This window comes from Homo sapiens, chromosome 4 (genome assembly GCF_000001405.40).
Source record: "Homo sapiens chromosome 4, GRCh38.p14 Primary Assembly".
In the NCBI taxonomy this organism is placed as follows: Eukaryota; Metazoa; Chordata; class Mammalia; order Primates; family Hominidae; genus Homo; species Homo sapiens.
Genome location: NC_000004.12, coordinates 119,687,378 through 119,700,480, shown reverse-complemented (window position 1 = coordinate 119,700,480; position 13,103 = coordinate 119,687,378). Strand labels below are relative to the sequence as shown.

The window sequence follows — 13,103 nt, the reverse complement described above, 5'->3', positions numbered from 1 at the left end:
TTTCTGCATAACTTCTTCCTTCTCAGTAATCTGCTCCACAAATCCTAACTGCCTTACCTTCCCCAGATGCCTATTTCTCTCTCCTCAACTCACTGACATCACCAAGCTTTGTTTGGATTTCTCTTCCTAGTGCATGCTGCAATGGAAATTAACTGCAGGTAGAAAGTCTGGGCAAAGGTATGGCTCAACTCATTTGTTTCTCTTTCCTCAAGGTTCACCGTCTCATGCTACCTACTATCAAGTATCATAAAACAGTTATTTCCTCAACTTTGTCTAGTTTTCTAGTTGTTTATGGATGAAGGGTGATTATGTATCCCCATTATCTCCCGTGGCCAAACTCTGACATAATTTAGAATGGAGTTTCATTTTAGAAAATCCTGTCATACTCATAGGCATGGGCAAAGACTTCATGACTAAAACACCAAAAGTGATGGCAACAAAAGCCAAAATTGACAAATGAGATCTAATTAAACTAAAGAACTTCTGCACAGCAAAACTGTCATCAGAGTGAACAGGCAACCTACAAAATGGGAGAAAATTTTTGCAATCTATCCATCTGACAAAGGGTTAATGTCCAGAATCTACAAGGAACTTAAACAAATTTACAAGAAAAAAAAACCCCATCAAAAAGTGGACAAAAGATATGAACAGACACTTCTCAAAAGAAGACATTTATGTGGCCAAGAAATGTATGAAAAAAAGTTCATCATCACTGGTCATTAGAGAAATTCAAATCAAAACCACAATGAGATACCATCTCACACCAGTTAGAATGGCAGTCATTAAAAAGTCAGGAAACAACAGATGCTGGAGAGGATGTGGAGAAATAGGAACGCTTTTACACTGTTGGTGGGAGTGTAAATTAGTTCAACCATTGTGGAAGACAGTGTGGCAATTCCTCAAGGATCTAGAACCAGAAATTCCATTTGACCCAGCAGTCCCATTACTGGGTATATACCCAAAGGATTATAAATCATTCTACTATAAAGACACATGCACACGTGTGTTTATTGCAGCACTATTCACAATAGCAAAGACTTGGAACCAACCCAAATGCCCATATGTGGTACATATACACCATGGAATACTATGCAGCCATAAAAAAGGATGAGTTCATGTCCTTTGCAGGGACATGGATGAAGCTGGAAACCATCATTCTCAGCAAACTAACACAGGAAGAGAAAACCAAACACCGCATGTTCTCACTCATAAGTGGGAGTTGAACAATGAGAACACATGGACACAGGAAGGGGAACATCACACACCAGGGCCTGTCAGGGGGTAGGGGACTAGGGAAAGGATAGCATTCAGAGAAATTCCTAATGTAGGTGATTGGTTGATGAGTGCAGCAAACCACCATGGTACGTGTATACTTATGTAACAAACCTGCATGTTCTGCACATGTATCCCAGAACTTAAAGTATAATACAAAAAAAGAAAATCCTGTCATACTTTTGAAATATAAAAATAAAATTGAAATGTACCTTCAGCTGTAAAAATAATAAAAAGCATTTATTATTTGATCTCATAATCTCTGGAGTCCAATTCCTTCTACTAGCCAGCAAAGTGAATAAAATTGACCAAGTAAAATTATAATAACTGAGGTTGTTTTGATTTTAAAATATTTGGGGGAGGAAACCAGTCAACATAAATTAGTCACAACTGTTTCTCCACCACTACAGAGTCTCTCCTAACTCTCTTTCCTCTATAACTGACATTGGGGTCCCAGTCAGCATGGTAGCAAAGAGAGAGACCTTTGGTCCATGCGCTGTCTTTTGCTGGGATTTTCCCTTCCCTCTCTCATCTTGGATATCCTACACCAGTGCCTTCTGAGGTCTGACTAGTCTGGTCCTGTCCTGTGTTTTTGAGATGTCATCTGTGGATGCCTCTGGATCTTGTCATGCTCCCTAGTTCTAAAGTCCCTATAGTGGCTTTTGTCTGCTCTACTGATTATCTAAATCTTTTGTCTGCTCTACTGATTACCACCCTTGTGGGTGACCCTGCAGCCATCAGCTGATTTTCCTCACCATGACATAGAATGCAGAATTCTTTCTGGTGGCCTTGAAACACTTCCTCAGGCATTGCTCTTCTGCCTAGAGGCTACATAGTACCAACACCAGTCTAAATGCAGGGCTTTGCTAAAGAGTTTACCACATTCCCCCTTCTCTCTCCCAAGGGCACTAGTATCCAAATAGGTGAGTCAAGTCACTCATAACTATAACTCTCCCATTCTCTTTCTCTAGTTTCTAAATTCTACTTCCCTTAGTGAAAGGGAATTCTCCTTTCTTGTCATAAAGAAACTTCCCCTGCAATATAGTCTCAGTTTTCTTTATGCTTTAGCGTCATGTAAATACAATACTCTAAGACTTGAAAGAACCAAGCCCACGCTTTTGAATGTAAAGGGAAATATGGGGGATTCATAAAACGCTTTTGTTCTTTAACAAAGAGTAGCTTTATGACTAGTCTTGCAATCGATTAAAAAATGTCAGCCTGGGGACTCAGAGAAGAATAAAAGACCTGTTTGTTCTGTATCTACCCTCACCCTGAATCAATACATGCCATTCACCAGGTGATTGATTCAACAAATGAGGCAGCTACCATACACCTACGGACTAAGGAACAAAAAATAAAGAAAACACTGATTTAATACCTGAAAAATATTATTTTTTACCTTTTCTATAGTAAATCTTTGCATGAGGATTGACTTCCATCATATCCTTCTCTTTTCTCCTAGCATTCACATGGCCTAGTTGTAAAAAGTAGTAAGATCTAAGATGCATAGATTACGTGAGGTATGTCAGGCACTGCTCTCATTGCTTTAAACTCATTTAATCCCCACAACAATGCAGTATGGGTTATCGTTACCCTCATTTTACAGAATGGAAAGCTGAGGCCCAGAGAGATTAAGTAACTTGCTCAAGATCACACAGACACTTTATCTTGGTTAAATTAGTGGATCTTTAATCCTCAGCATTTTCAGCTATAAAGTAAGGATAACAATTACAATAATATAAATGAAGTATTATGTATAGTATTTCAGCAAAATCTTCCCAGATGCAGATGGCCTGGGTTCAAATTCTATGTTTCTGAGTTACTGTCTGGTAACCCTGGGTTCCCTGACCTCTCTGTACCTCAACTGTAAAGCAGGAAAGATGATAAGTATATTTTCCTCTGAAGATTATTATGGGGATAAAATAAATAAACATAAGACTTGAACCAAAGCCTAGTACACAGCAAATTATCAATAAATGTTACTGTTTTCAAAGGCCCACCCTACCTTATCAGAAATCCTGGTGGCAAGGTGAATTTTGGAATTTGGACTATTGTACACAAGGGATAGAGTCCACATGGAATTATGGAGTATTACCCCAGTGAGGTCACAGAAAACACCATGACCAAATATTAAGATTTTTGCCTCAAAATGCATGAATATTCACTCTAAGTGAGATAAATAAAGACTAAAAACACCCTCTGGCAGTTCAGTTCAGGTTTTGCTACTGAATCAATCATTGCAAAATGTAAGTTTTCAGAGGCTTTTTATTTTAGAATTTCAGATGGGGTATTTGGGGCTGTATTATTTTATATTATGAGAATTTAAAAAGGTGACCTATGTAAGCCAAGCTAAGCACAATGCCTGGCATATAATAAGCTCTTCATAAGTGTGCATTTGCCATCGATTTTGAAATTAATACCATTAGCATTAGCATTATATTAAATTCACAATATAGCTACAGTTAAAACAGCATCTTCATTGTTATTTTACATATTCTCCTAGTCATTTCCCCAGATGACTTCCTGTAAAAGTTTTCAGATTTCCTTATTCTATCATATTTTTGCCTGGGCATGAATCTCATCTATCCCCTTTATTTCATTTGCCTTACTTGGTGACCAGTCCCTTATTTGACTCCCCAGCCTTGTCTCTGTGATAGGATCAGTCACAGTTAAGGAAACAGCATAGTCTCATAGTAAAAAGGAAGAAAGAAAGAATATAATAATGGCTGTCATTTATTGCACATTTGCCCTGGGATCTGTGCTAGACACTTTATATAATTCTCCCATTTAATTCTCCCCACTACTTAATAAAGCAGGTATTATCACTCTTATTTTACAGATTGAGAAACTGAGACACAGAGAGATTAGATGATTTGCCTAAGGACTTTAGGAAGAAGTCCTTGAATTTGTTCGTGTGCTTTTTTTTTTTTTTGTCCACTTCTATGAGAAAAGATCTTAGTTTATTTACATTTTCTAAAAGATACACACAGTTGCAAGGTTTAAGAACCACTGAGACTATAGATGTTGTAAAAATACTTGATATTTGTGCAGACTAATGGGTGCTCTTGATTCCCAATTCAGATGGGATTTATTTACAAGTATCCCCCTCAGACCTAGGCAGTGTAGCTCCTAGGGCACTCAGCAAAGAGAGGGATTAAAAGACATCCCCAACAATAACACTTTGCCTATCAGAACCACAATTGCAGCCTTGGCTACTTAGACCACTTTCAGCATTTTCCCCACAACTTCTATTTCATTCACTCCCTAAATCTGATTGTATACTCTCTCCAATCAGTCTCCTCACCAGATTAAAATCTCCTTTTAAACCAGAGGCCATGTCTAATTCCTCTTTCTATCCATCCCCAAACTACAATGTTTTACACATTGTGACTTCTTAATATGCTTTTGATGAAACAGAACTAAAGCTGTATCTCAAGGGATATCTCAGATGGGCATTTCAACCTCAGTTGTGTCATTTCTCACAATAAGGACACGATTGAAAGATTAAAATTCAGCTAAGGCTTTTACCTTTCTCTGAGCTCCCAGAAAGTGAGGACTCTAAGATTTCTTGTCAAATAACTGTAAAAGAAAATTTTAAACAGAGTATTTCCTTAGGCTAATATCTGCTTAATTACTCCTATCTACCAGTCTCTGAGATCAAAAAATGTACTCTGTTTTTCCTCTAGTCCCGATATGTGTGAGTTTTGTTTGTTTATTCATTCATGTATTTATTTTATTTCTTAGAGACAGAGTTTTGCTCTATGACCAAGCTGGATGATAGTGGTGTGATCATGGACTGGAGTGTGGTGGTGCAATTCTATTTCACCGGGCTGAAGCACTCCTCCTGCCTCAGCCTCCCAAGTAGCTAGGATTATAGGTGTGCACAACCATCCTTGGCTAATTAAAAAAAAAAAATTATTTTTGTAGAGACAGGGTCTTACTATGTTGGCCAGGCTGCATGTGTGAGGTTTAGATGTATAGAAGTCAGTGGTGGATAGAAACTGTCAAAACCCAAGCCAATTCAATAATTTTTTTTTTTTTTTGAGATGGAGTTTCACTCTTGTTGCCTAGGCTAAAGTGCAATGGCACAATCTCAGCTCACTGCAACCTTCACCTCCTGGGTTCAAGCTATTCTCCTGCCTCAGCCTCCTGAGTAGTTGGGATTGCTGACATGCACCACCGCACCTGGTTAATTTTGTATTTTTAGTAGAGACGGGGTTTCTCCATGTTGGTCAGACTGGTCTCAAACTTCCGACTTCAGGTGATCCGCCCACCTCGGCCTCCCAAAGTGCTGAGATTACAGGCGTGAGCTACCACGCCTGGCCGCCAATTCGAGAATTTTTAAAAAATAATAATAACACAGACAATCCCCCTCATTTCTGTATTTTCTCATATAGCTTTTCTATGAAACATACATATAAAAATGATAGAATAAAAGCTTAGTTATAATGATATGACTTCATCTCAATCGTCTGTGGAACATGGACGATAAAATTATTTGAGTCTTTCCGTTCTCCAGAAATGATCTTTGTCCCTTTTCCTTCAGTAAGGAGTTTGTTTGCGTGAAAGTATGAGTCTTTATAATACACTGGCACTATTCTTTTTGCTTTCTTTGAAGACAATAAACACTCAAATTTATGTTTCCGTATTCATTGAAGTATTTGCTGGAATCTCATGTTCACATGGAGAAATTTAGGGGCAGAAGAAAGTAGAGGGTGGGAAAGTTCAGGAACGTGTCTTACCTGTTTTTAATTAGACCACAACTCACAGATCAATGAAAATAGAAGTGTTTCAAAAGATAATTTTTATATAACTGAGAAAATGTCAGTTGTCTACATGGAAAAAGTATTATGAAATCTTGTGGAGCGGCTGTAGGAAGAGGCAGGGCACTAAAAGAGGCCCTCAAGCCTCTGTTTGGTGTTACCACTATTTATATGGTATTTGATGTGTCAAACCATATGACCCCTCTATTGAAAAATGTGAATAAATTTTGCATTTTTAGTTAATAAGCATTGAGAAATAGAAGGTGTTTCTTTTTATTCTTTCTTTTTTCTGTTTCTTAAGGTGATATCTATTTACCTCACTACATATTCTGGGTACCACAAAGATACCAGAGATTTCAAAATAGAAAATGTACGCCTAGCCTTAACATTGGCCCGTAAAACTCCTCAAATTGCATCTTGTAACTCTTTTTCAAGTGAGTCCATTGAAAAGGTAATATCAATTTAATCTTACATAGTTTTTGTTTTTATAATGAAATACTCCCAAAAATCTGAGAAAATTCTTAGTTTTTTCTTTATCTGAGAACCCATTCTATAATAATAATACACTTGATCTTAGCCAAAAGGCCAAGAAGCGATCTATAGTAATAATAGACACATACTGACATATTTCTTAATTTCTGAATAAAAAACTAAAACTTGGAATAGTGAAATCAATTTTCTAAAGTCACTCAGTAAAGGACAAAAATTTTGGAGAAAAAGAGTTTCTTTTCACTTTACAAATAGTAAATCCAACTGAAGTTAAAGAATTTTTTAAAAATGTAACAAAGTTTAGTTTCTGTTTCATCCTGTGTGCAGTAAACATTAAACTCTAAAACTCAGATATATTCACTTTAATTTTCTAAAATAGATCTATCAATGTTAAATATTCAGATTGTTACACACTTGTTTGCATATCAACTTTTAAATTAAATTTTTATTACAAAGCTAATAAAAAAAGAAAAGAGGGAGCATTAACAAAAAAAAAAAAAAAGTGGTACATTCTAGTTTTCCAGTTGAAAGGAAGAGCACTTCCTTTTCTCATGACAACAGAAGCTCCCTGGATAGTTGGTTCACATCTGATTAGAATTTGTTTCTCCCTCCAGCAGAACAGTTATGTTGCTTCTCCCAGCAGCTGATTGGGTCAGTCCTCCTCAGGGTTCTCAGCTGACCCCAGGTTATTACATTCCCAAGGCTGAAGACTTTCCTTTTTTCCAGTACTTAAACTTCACTTCTCTCTTTAGACATGCAGGCTCCTTCTTCTGAGAGGTAATGTAGAAAGACTGCTGAATTATGGCTCTTTCAAACTGAACACTGATCTGTTCTCTCTCTTTCATTCCTGGGAATAAATGGAGAAAGATATGTTTAATTCCTGATGTGACTTTGACCTCTATTGTCTCAGTTAATAGAATGGACATTTGAAATTTTGCACTAAAAAAATTGTTACAGTTATTTTATTTCAGCTTTATTTCAAGAAAGCAAGCATGCCATTGTATTGAAAATTGTAAATAACATTGGAAAATAAAGGAATCATTGAACAAGAATTAAGTCACTAACCCAGTTTATTTTTAATACTATAGATATAGATTCTACAAAAGAATGACATACTTCCCTAGTTTACATAGGAATGGACTAAGATGTGTTTGGTGAGGGGTCATTTTTGTGGCTTACAACTCTGGAGGGTTATTTTTGCAGCCTGTGGAACCAGACTGGAGAAATAAAGCTGAAGGTACACTGATGTCTAAATTCCATTGATAACTTTTAAGCAAAAAATAACAGTAGAGTGAGCTGTGGAAATAGTAGTGGAAGAGAGAGGATGCTTCAAGAAAAATATTCACATAATTATTTAATATTGAGCTGATCAAACAAAATAAGATTGTGAGCCATTTTCTTCTATGGAAGAAAAAAAAAGATGTTCGCATTCTTAAATTTTCTTTTCAACTGAGTCCAAGTATGAAGAGACTAAGGCTGGCTGAATCTTCCAGTAATTCTCCTTCGGAGAAAGCTTCAGTGAGGAATTAAGAAAACCAATATTAGGGAAAGGAAGCTATTTTGATAGGAATGTGGAAAGCTAGGGAGAAGGAGACAAGAATATAAAACAAAGTCAAAAAGGGAAATACTTCCAAAAATCTAAATTTCTTCTCCTTTGCTAGCCATTTCCACCTCTGACTCAACTCTGACAAATTAAATGCAGTGGTTTTTAACCAAGCATAAGCATTGGAACTACTCATGGAGCTCTGGCACCACACAGCTGCCACGATGTCACCCTAGGCTTTCTAAATCAGAATCTCTGGAGGTGGGGCATGGGCATGGGTCATTTTAAAATAAGTTCCATCAGTTGTTCTGAAGCATACTACTTTTCTAGTGTAATCCCCATTTACCCCAGGCCTCACCACCCTGTGTTTACAAACAGAACCACAATACAGCATAGCTCAATCTCATGGCCCTATGTATAATTGCAGAGTCTCATTTATATATTTCTGTAGTCCCCAGATAGATAGAACAGAGTTGGCAAGAACTCCTCCCAGATCTTTCTGCCTGGCATCCCTTGTTGAGGGCTAGCAGAAACACTTGAGAATGGTTCTGAACATTAGCTCCCTGTTCATAGTACCAACACCTATCCTGGTGCAAACCTAAAGTGCAAACCCTCAAGTTGAAACAACATTTATCACTTCAGAACCAGGCTGTATTATCCCCAGATACGGTGAAAATGGTGCTCTTCCCTAACCTGTATCCTGCTTCATCCCTTTAGCCCCTAAGCCACATGATAGGTGACTCCATGCCTGGGAAAACGGAATCTTCAGTGTCCTCCTGTAGCCCCTGCCTCCATCAGGGTTCAGACTGAGACCATGAGACCCATCAGTAAAGGAGAGAGCCTCTTGTCCGTTCATATCCCTTTCCATCTCTACCCCCACACACCCTTTTATTTGAAGACACTTTCCTACTTATGTAAATTATTTCACACAAATCACCTCTTTGAGCTTTTAGCTGCACCTTTTTATCAAACACACACCAAAATTTAAAAATCCCAGTTTAAACTCAGGTGATATCCTTATTACACATTATTCTTCTAAAATAATACCCTTTCTTTCAATGTACCAAAATCTAGCTAAGTCTAAGGGGATCACATATGTCAGGTTCAAGCCCCAGCTGAGGTCTGAGGGGAGTAGGTAGATGGGGCACAGTGAGCTAGAAGAACACTCAAGAGACAGCAGGTAGATGAGACATGGCTTTATTCAGCAGCTCCTTCACAGTGTCAGTGTTACATTTATACACCTCACAAACCACAGTGGCTGAGAACCAGGTGATGAGCTTCTCTATGTTATGTCTACATAGCTGTGATTATATAAAACATGGGAATGTGCACCTGCACTCCAATCCTGCTGAGTCATGCAGGATGTTTACCTCTGCCTATGCCCGCCTGGCTGCAGCAAAGCCTTTTTCCTTACAACATGGTCTTAGATCAAGTGAGTTGATAAATGTCAACCTCTACAGCTATCTAGAAAATGCAGTTAGCATCTGCATTTTCAAACTCAAGGCTCAAGAACCCTTGGGATTGCCATGTGGATGAGGGGAGAAAAAAAGGGGTTGAGTGGGCATTTGATAGAATATGTATTCCCAGATCTACAATCCAAAAAATAAAACCTATTTGAAAAATTCCCTGTATCATGGCGGCAGTTCACAATCTCCTTCCCCATCCTTTGCTCCCTGCCTCATTTCCACTTCCCAAATCCTCTTGTTAGGATTTTTCATCTTTGCAAATGACTCCACCATCCAGCCAGTTCTTCCAGCCAAACACTGGTTGTCAAATGTGGCTTTCTTCTCTTTCTCCTCTCCTCTGACAACAAATCTATAACCAAGTCCAATCAGTTCTATACTCTAAATTTCTACTGATTTTCTTTCTTTCTCTTCATCTCAACTGACTCTAATCCAGGCTGACATCCTGACTTGCTGAGACTAATGCAATAAGCCACAGCTGGTTTTCTCATATCTGCATTTATACCCTGAAAATGTTTTCTCTGGTACAATCAGAGTAATTTTTAAAAATATGTGCTTCCTCTGCCCTTAAAAATCTTAAAATCTTCCTAAATTCTCTTAACATCAGAGTTTTCAACTATAAGTTGGGGATAATGATTCCTAAATTGATGTTTATTGTAAGAATTTGAAAGATTATAAAATACATGTATAGAGAATATGTATATAAAAAGCCTAATGCTGTACTTCGCTTGGCATATGTCAGAAGGTATTATGCTTATCTTTTTTCTTTCTAAGGCAGCCAAAGACATGGGACTCAATGGAGAAACAAAGTTCATTTTAGCTCTAAACTTCTATGATTCTACATTATGCAAAGAAGCTGGGATGTACCTAAATTTTAAACTTGATGTCCTTTTTTGGGGGGTTTTCCATTGGTAATAAAATTTGGAACCAGAGGGACACAAATATGACTCATATAAGGTTATGTCAAAGGTGATAAAAGTCACACTTTTCTTCATACCTCGCTCTGCCAGCCCCAGCTCTGTCATCTTTTCTGCTGCTAGCTCATGAGTTGCTGGTGGATTGTTCGGGCTGAGGGATCAAAAGAAGAGAGTCAGAGCTTCAAATAAGTTACCTTAAAACAAATTCACATAAGAGATTTCATATAAGCACCCCTCATCTCATCTTTGTCTCACTTTTACTTTTTAATGAGAAAAGGATTTTGAAAGGTGAAACTCAGGGGCCAGGTTTTTCAAGTTGACCCTGAAGAAAAGAGAGAAGAACAATCAGAAAGAGGCATAACAGATGGTCTTCTGAGAAAGGTAATACTTTTTTAATTGAATTGAACTGAATTGAATTGAAGGAGTCTCTAGGGTTTTCCTCCACAAGAATCTGAGTGTTAAGACACTGAGGAGTGAAAAGTTTACAGTATTTTCTGTGGCTCCTAAAATTATTTCATATCTCCTGGATCTGTATATATTCAAAGCCAGTAAATGAGCTAGTTCCTGCATGTGCAGCAATTATTGGAAAAGGGAGAAGAATAAAGAATAAAGAACACACAATACAGAAAGAAAATCATGTTCCTCAGCACCCACCTTGAGATTCCAAATGAAGATATGAAACATACATATATATGTATATATACAGTACCTTCTTCCAAGTGCATACGTCTATGCTCTGCTCTTTCACTGATCTTCTCCATATTTTAAACTTCTACCCTTGAAAGGAAACCTTTGGTTCAATCATCCATCACATGCTCAACCACACCTGGAGTTTCTGCAGGTGTGTGAATTGCACCATTTCCTCTATCTGTAGTGGATAAACATATCTCTCTCAATGAATGAAGCATAAGTTTACTTGCTTCTTGAAGACACACAAAGAAATGAAAAAATGAAGTTTGAGAAGTACCCTTAAAGCTTATCTGTCTTTATCCATAATTTGTGGGTAGAATGCCTACCTTGTTGGTTGTTATAAGAAACAGAGATATAAATGAAAAACCTTATACATAGTAGGCAGTTATTTTTTTCTCTTTATAAAGTTCAATGATCTCCCAAATTTGGAAATTGCAGGCATAGCCCCAGAACAAGTATCATAAGGATGTTTCAAATACTCCATAGCTCATAGTCCCAACATACATGTTTTAAAATGTCATATAATTGAAGAGCATTTTTAACAACCCATTAGACTTCCAAAGACATATTTGGCTTTCTATTATGAATTCCAATATTTAAAATTCTTGGGAGAAAGTCTTATGTAATATACTATGCCAAATGTAAGCCTTGTTTTATTTACACTAAATAGCCTCTAACCCCAGTCCACTATGTTGTACAAGATTTATTTACAAAGTCTTCAGCCAAAGATAGAGTTCCATGAGTTCTGAGTATACATGAACTTCCCTCCATTCCCCTTGGTCAGTTTTTTTGATGTGACTTTGATTTTGCATGTTTTTCATTTACGTTTAGAAAAAAAAATAGCTATGAAAAGAATTTTTTTCCAGTGAGCACTATTTTCATTTGAGTACAATATTTAGAACTAAAATTAAATGTATTGAATATATTCGTATATAGATTATAAATGCTGTAGGTGGTGACATGATTCTTATATCATAAGTAAGTCAGTTATATAATTTTTGAAATATAATTTTCAAATAAAATATAATTTTCAAAATGTTTCATGAGTTCAGCTGACCCTTCCCTTGAAGATCACTCAAATTTCTTCCCTTGGAATACCAGAAATAACATACAAATTTCCTATCTTTTAAAAGGTAGAAAAATCCAAGTTTCTCCTGCTAGGTGAAGTACATGCTATTCTTCAAGATAATTGTCATGTGGCTACTTTGGATAGCTATCTAATCTTGTATTCTACCAGGAGAGAATGTTATTTGAAAGGAAACTGTATTTGTATGAGGTGTGGGGAGGGAGATTCTAAAAGTATGAAAATCCTCAACCAAATCTTCAGCATTTTATCAAAACCAAGTCTTTTCAGCATATTAATAAAATTAAAAAGGCCAGACATGGTGGCTGATGCCTGTAATTCCAGCACTTTGGGAGGCCAAGGCGGGTGGATCACCCGAGGTCAGGAGTTTGAGACCAGCCTGGCCAACATGGCGAAACCCCATCTCTACTAAAAATACAAAAATTAGCTGGCCGTGGTGGCAGGCCCCTGTAATCCCAGCTACTTGGGAGGCTGAGGCAGGAGAATTGCTTGAACCCAGGAGGCGGAGTTTGCAGTGAGCCAAGATCTTACCATTGTACTCCAGCCTGGGCAACAAGACAGAGACTCCCTCTCAAAAATAAAATAAAATAAAACTAAAAAGTAAGGTAAGCATATTTGAAAGTAATATTCATTTTTATCACTCATTTTGATACTATTCTTTGTATAGGTGTTCATAAAATTATTTCCTAATTGAGATATTAATACATAAAATTTTATATAGTGAAAAGCCACTTTCTACATAAACCTGACTCAACTATAGATTTAATGTTAAGCAAAGGCATTGCCTATTCTTGAGACTACCAGCTATGCCTAATAACATAACCACAAACATGTGCAGAACAATGAAACTGTTTAAAATGCTTTCATATGCATTACCATTTA

The 13,103-nt window shown here is 37.1% G+C and overlaps 1 long non-coding RNA gene and 1 pseudogene across 1 annotated transcript; both read right to left on the bottom strand.

The window, feature by feature from the left end:
• Nucleotides 1-6,525: 6,525 nt before the first annotated feature.
• LOC124900920 (uncharacterized) lies at nucleotides 6,526-6,632 on the bottom strand (annotated as a pseudogene).
• Nucleotides 6,633-6,951: 319 nt separating this feature from the next.
• On the bottom strand, nucleotides 6,952-11,679 carry LOC105377397 (uncharacterized). The gene is made up of 3 exons (XR_939161.4): nucleotides 10,709-11,679; nucleotides 10,528-10,598; nucleotides 6,952-7,371 (listed from the first exon to the last, which is right to left on the bottom strand). It is a non-coding gene; the product is annotated as an uncharacterized LOC105377397 (long non-coding RNA).
• Nucleotides 11,680-13,103: the final 1,424 nt, after the last annotated feature.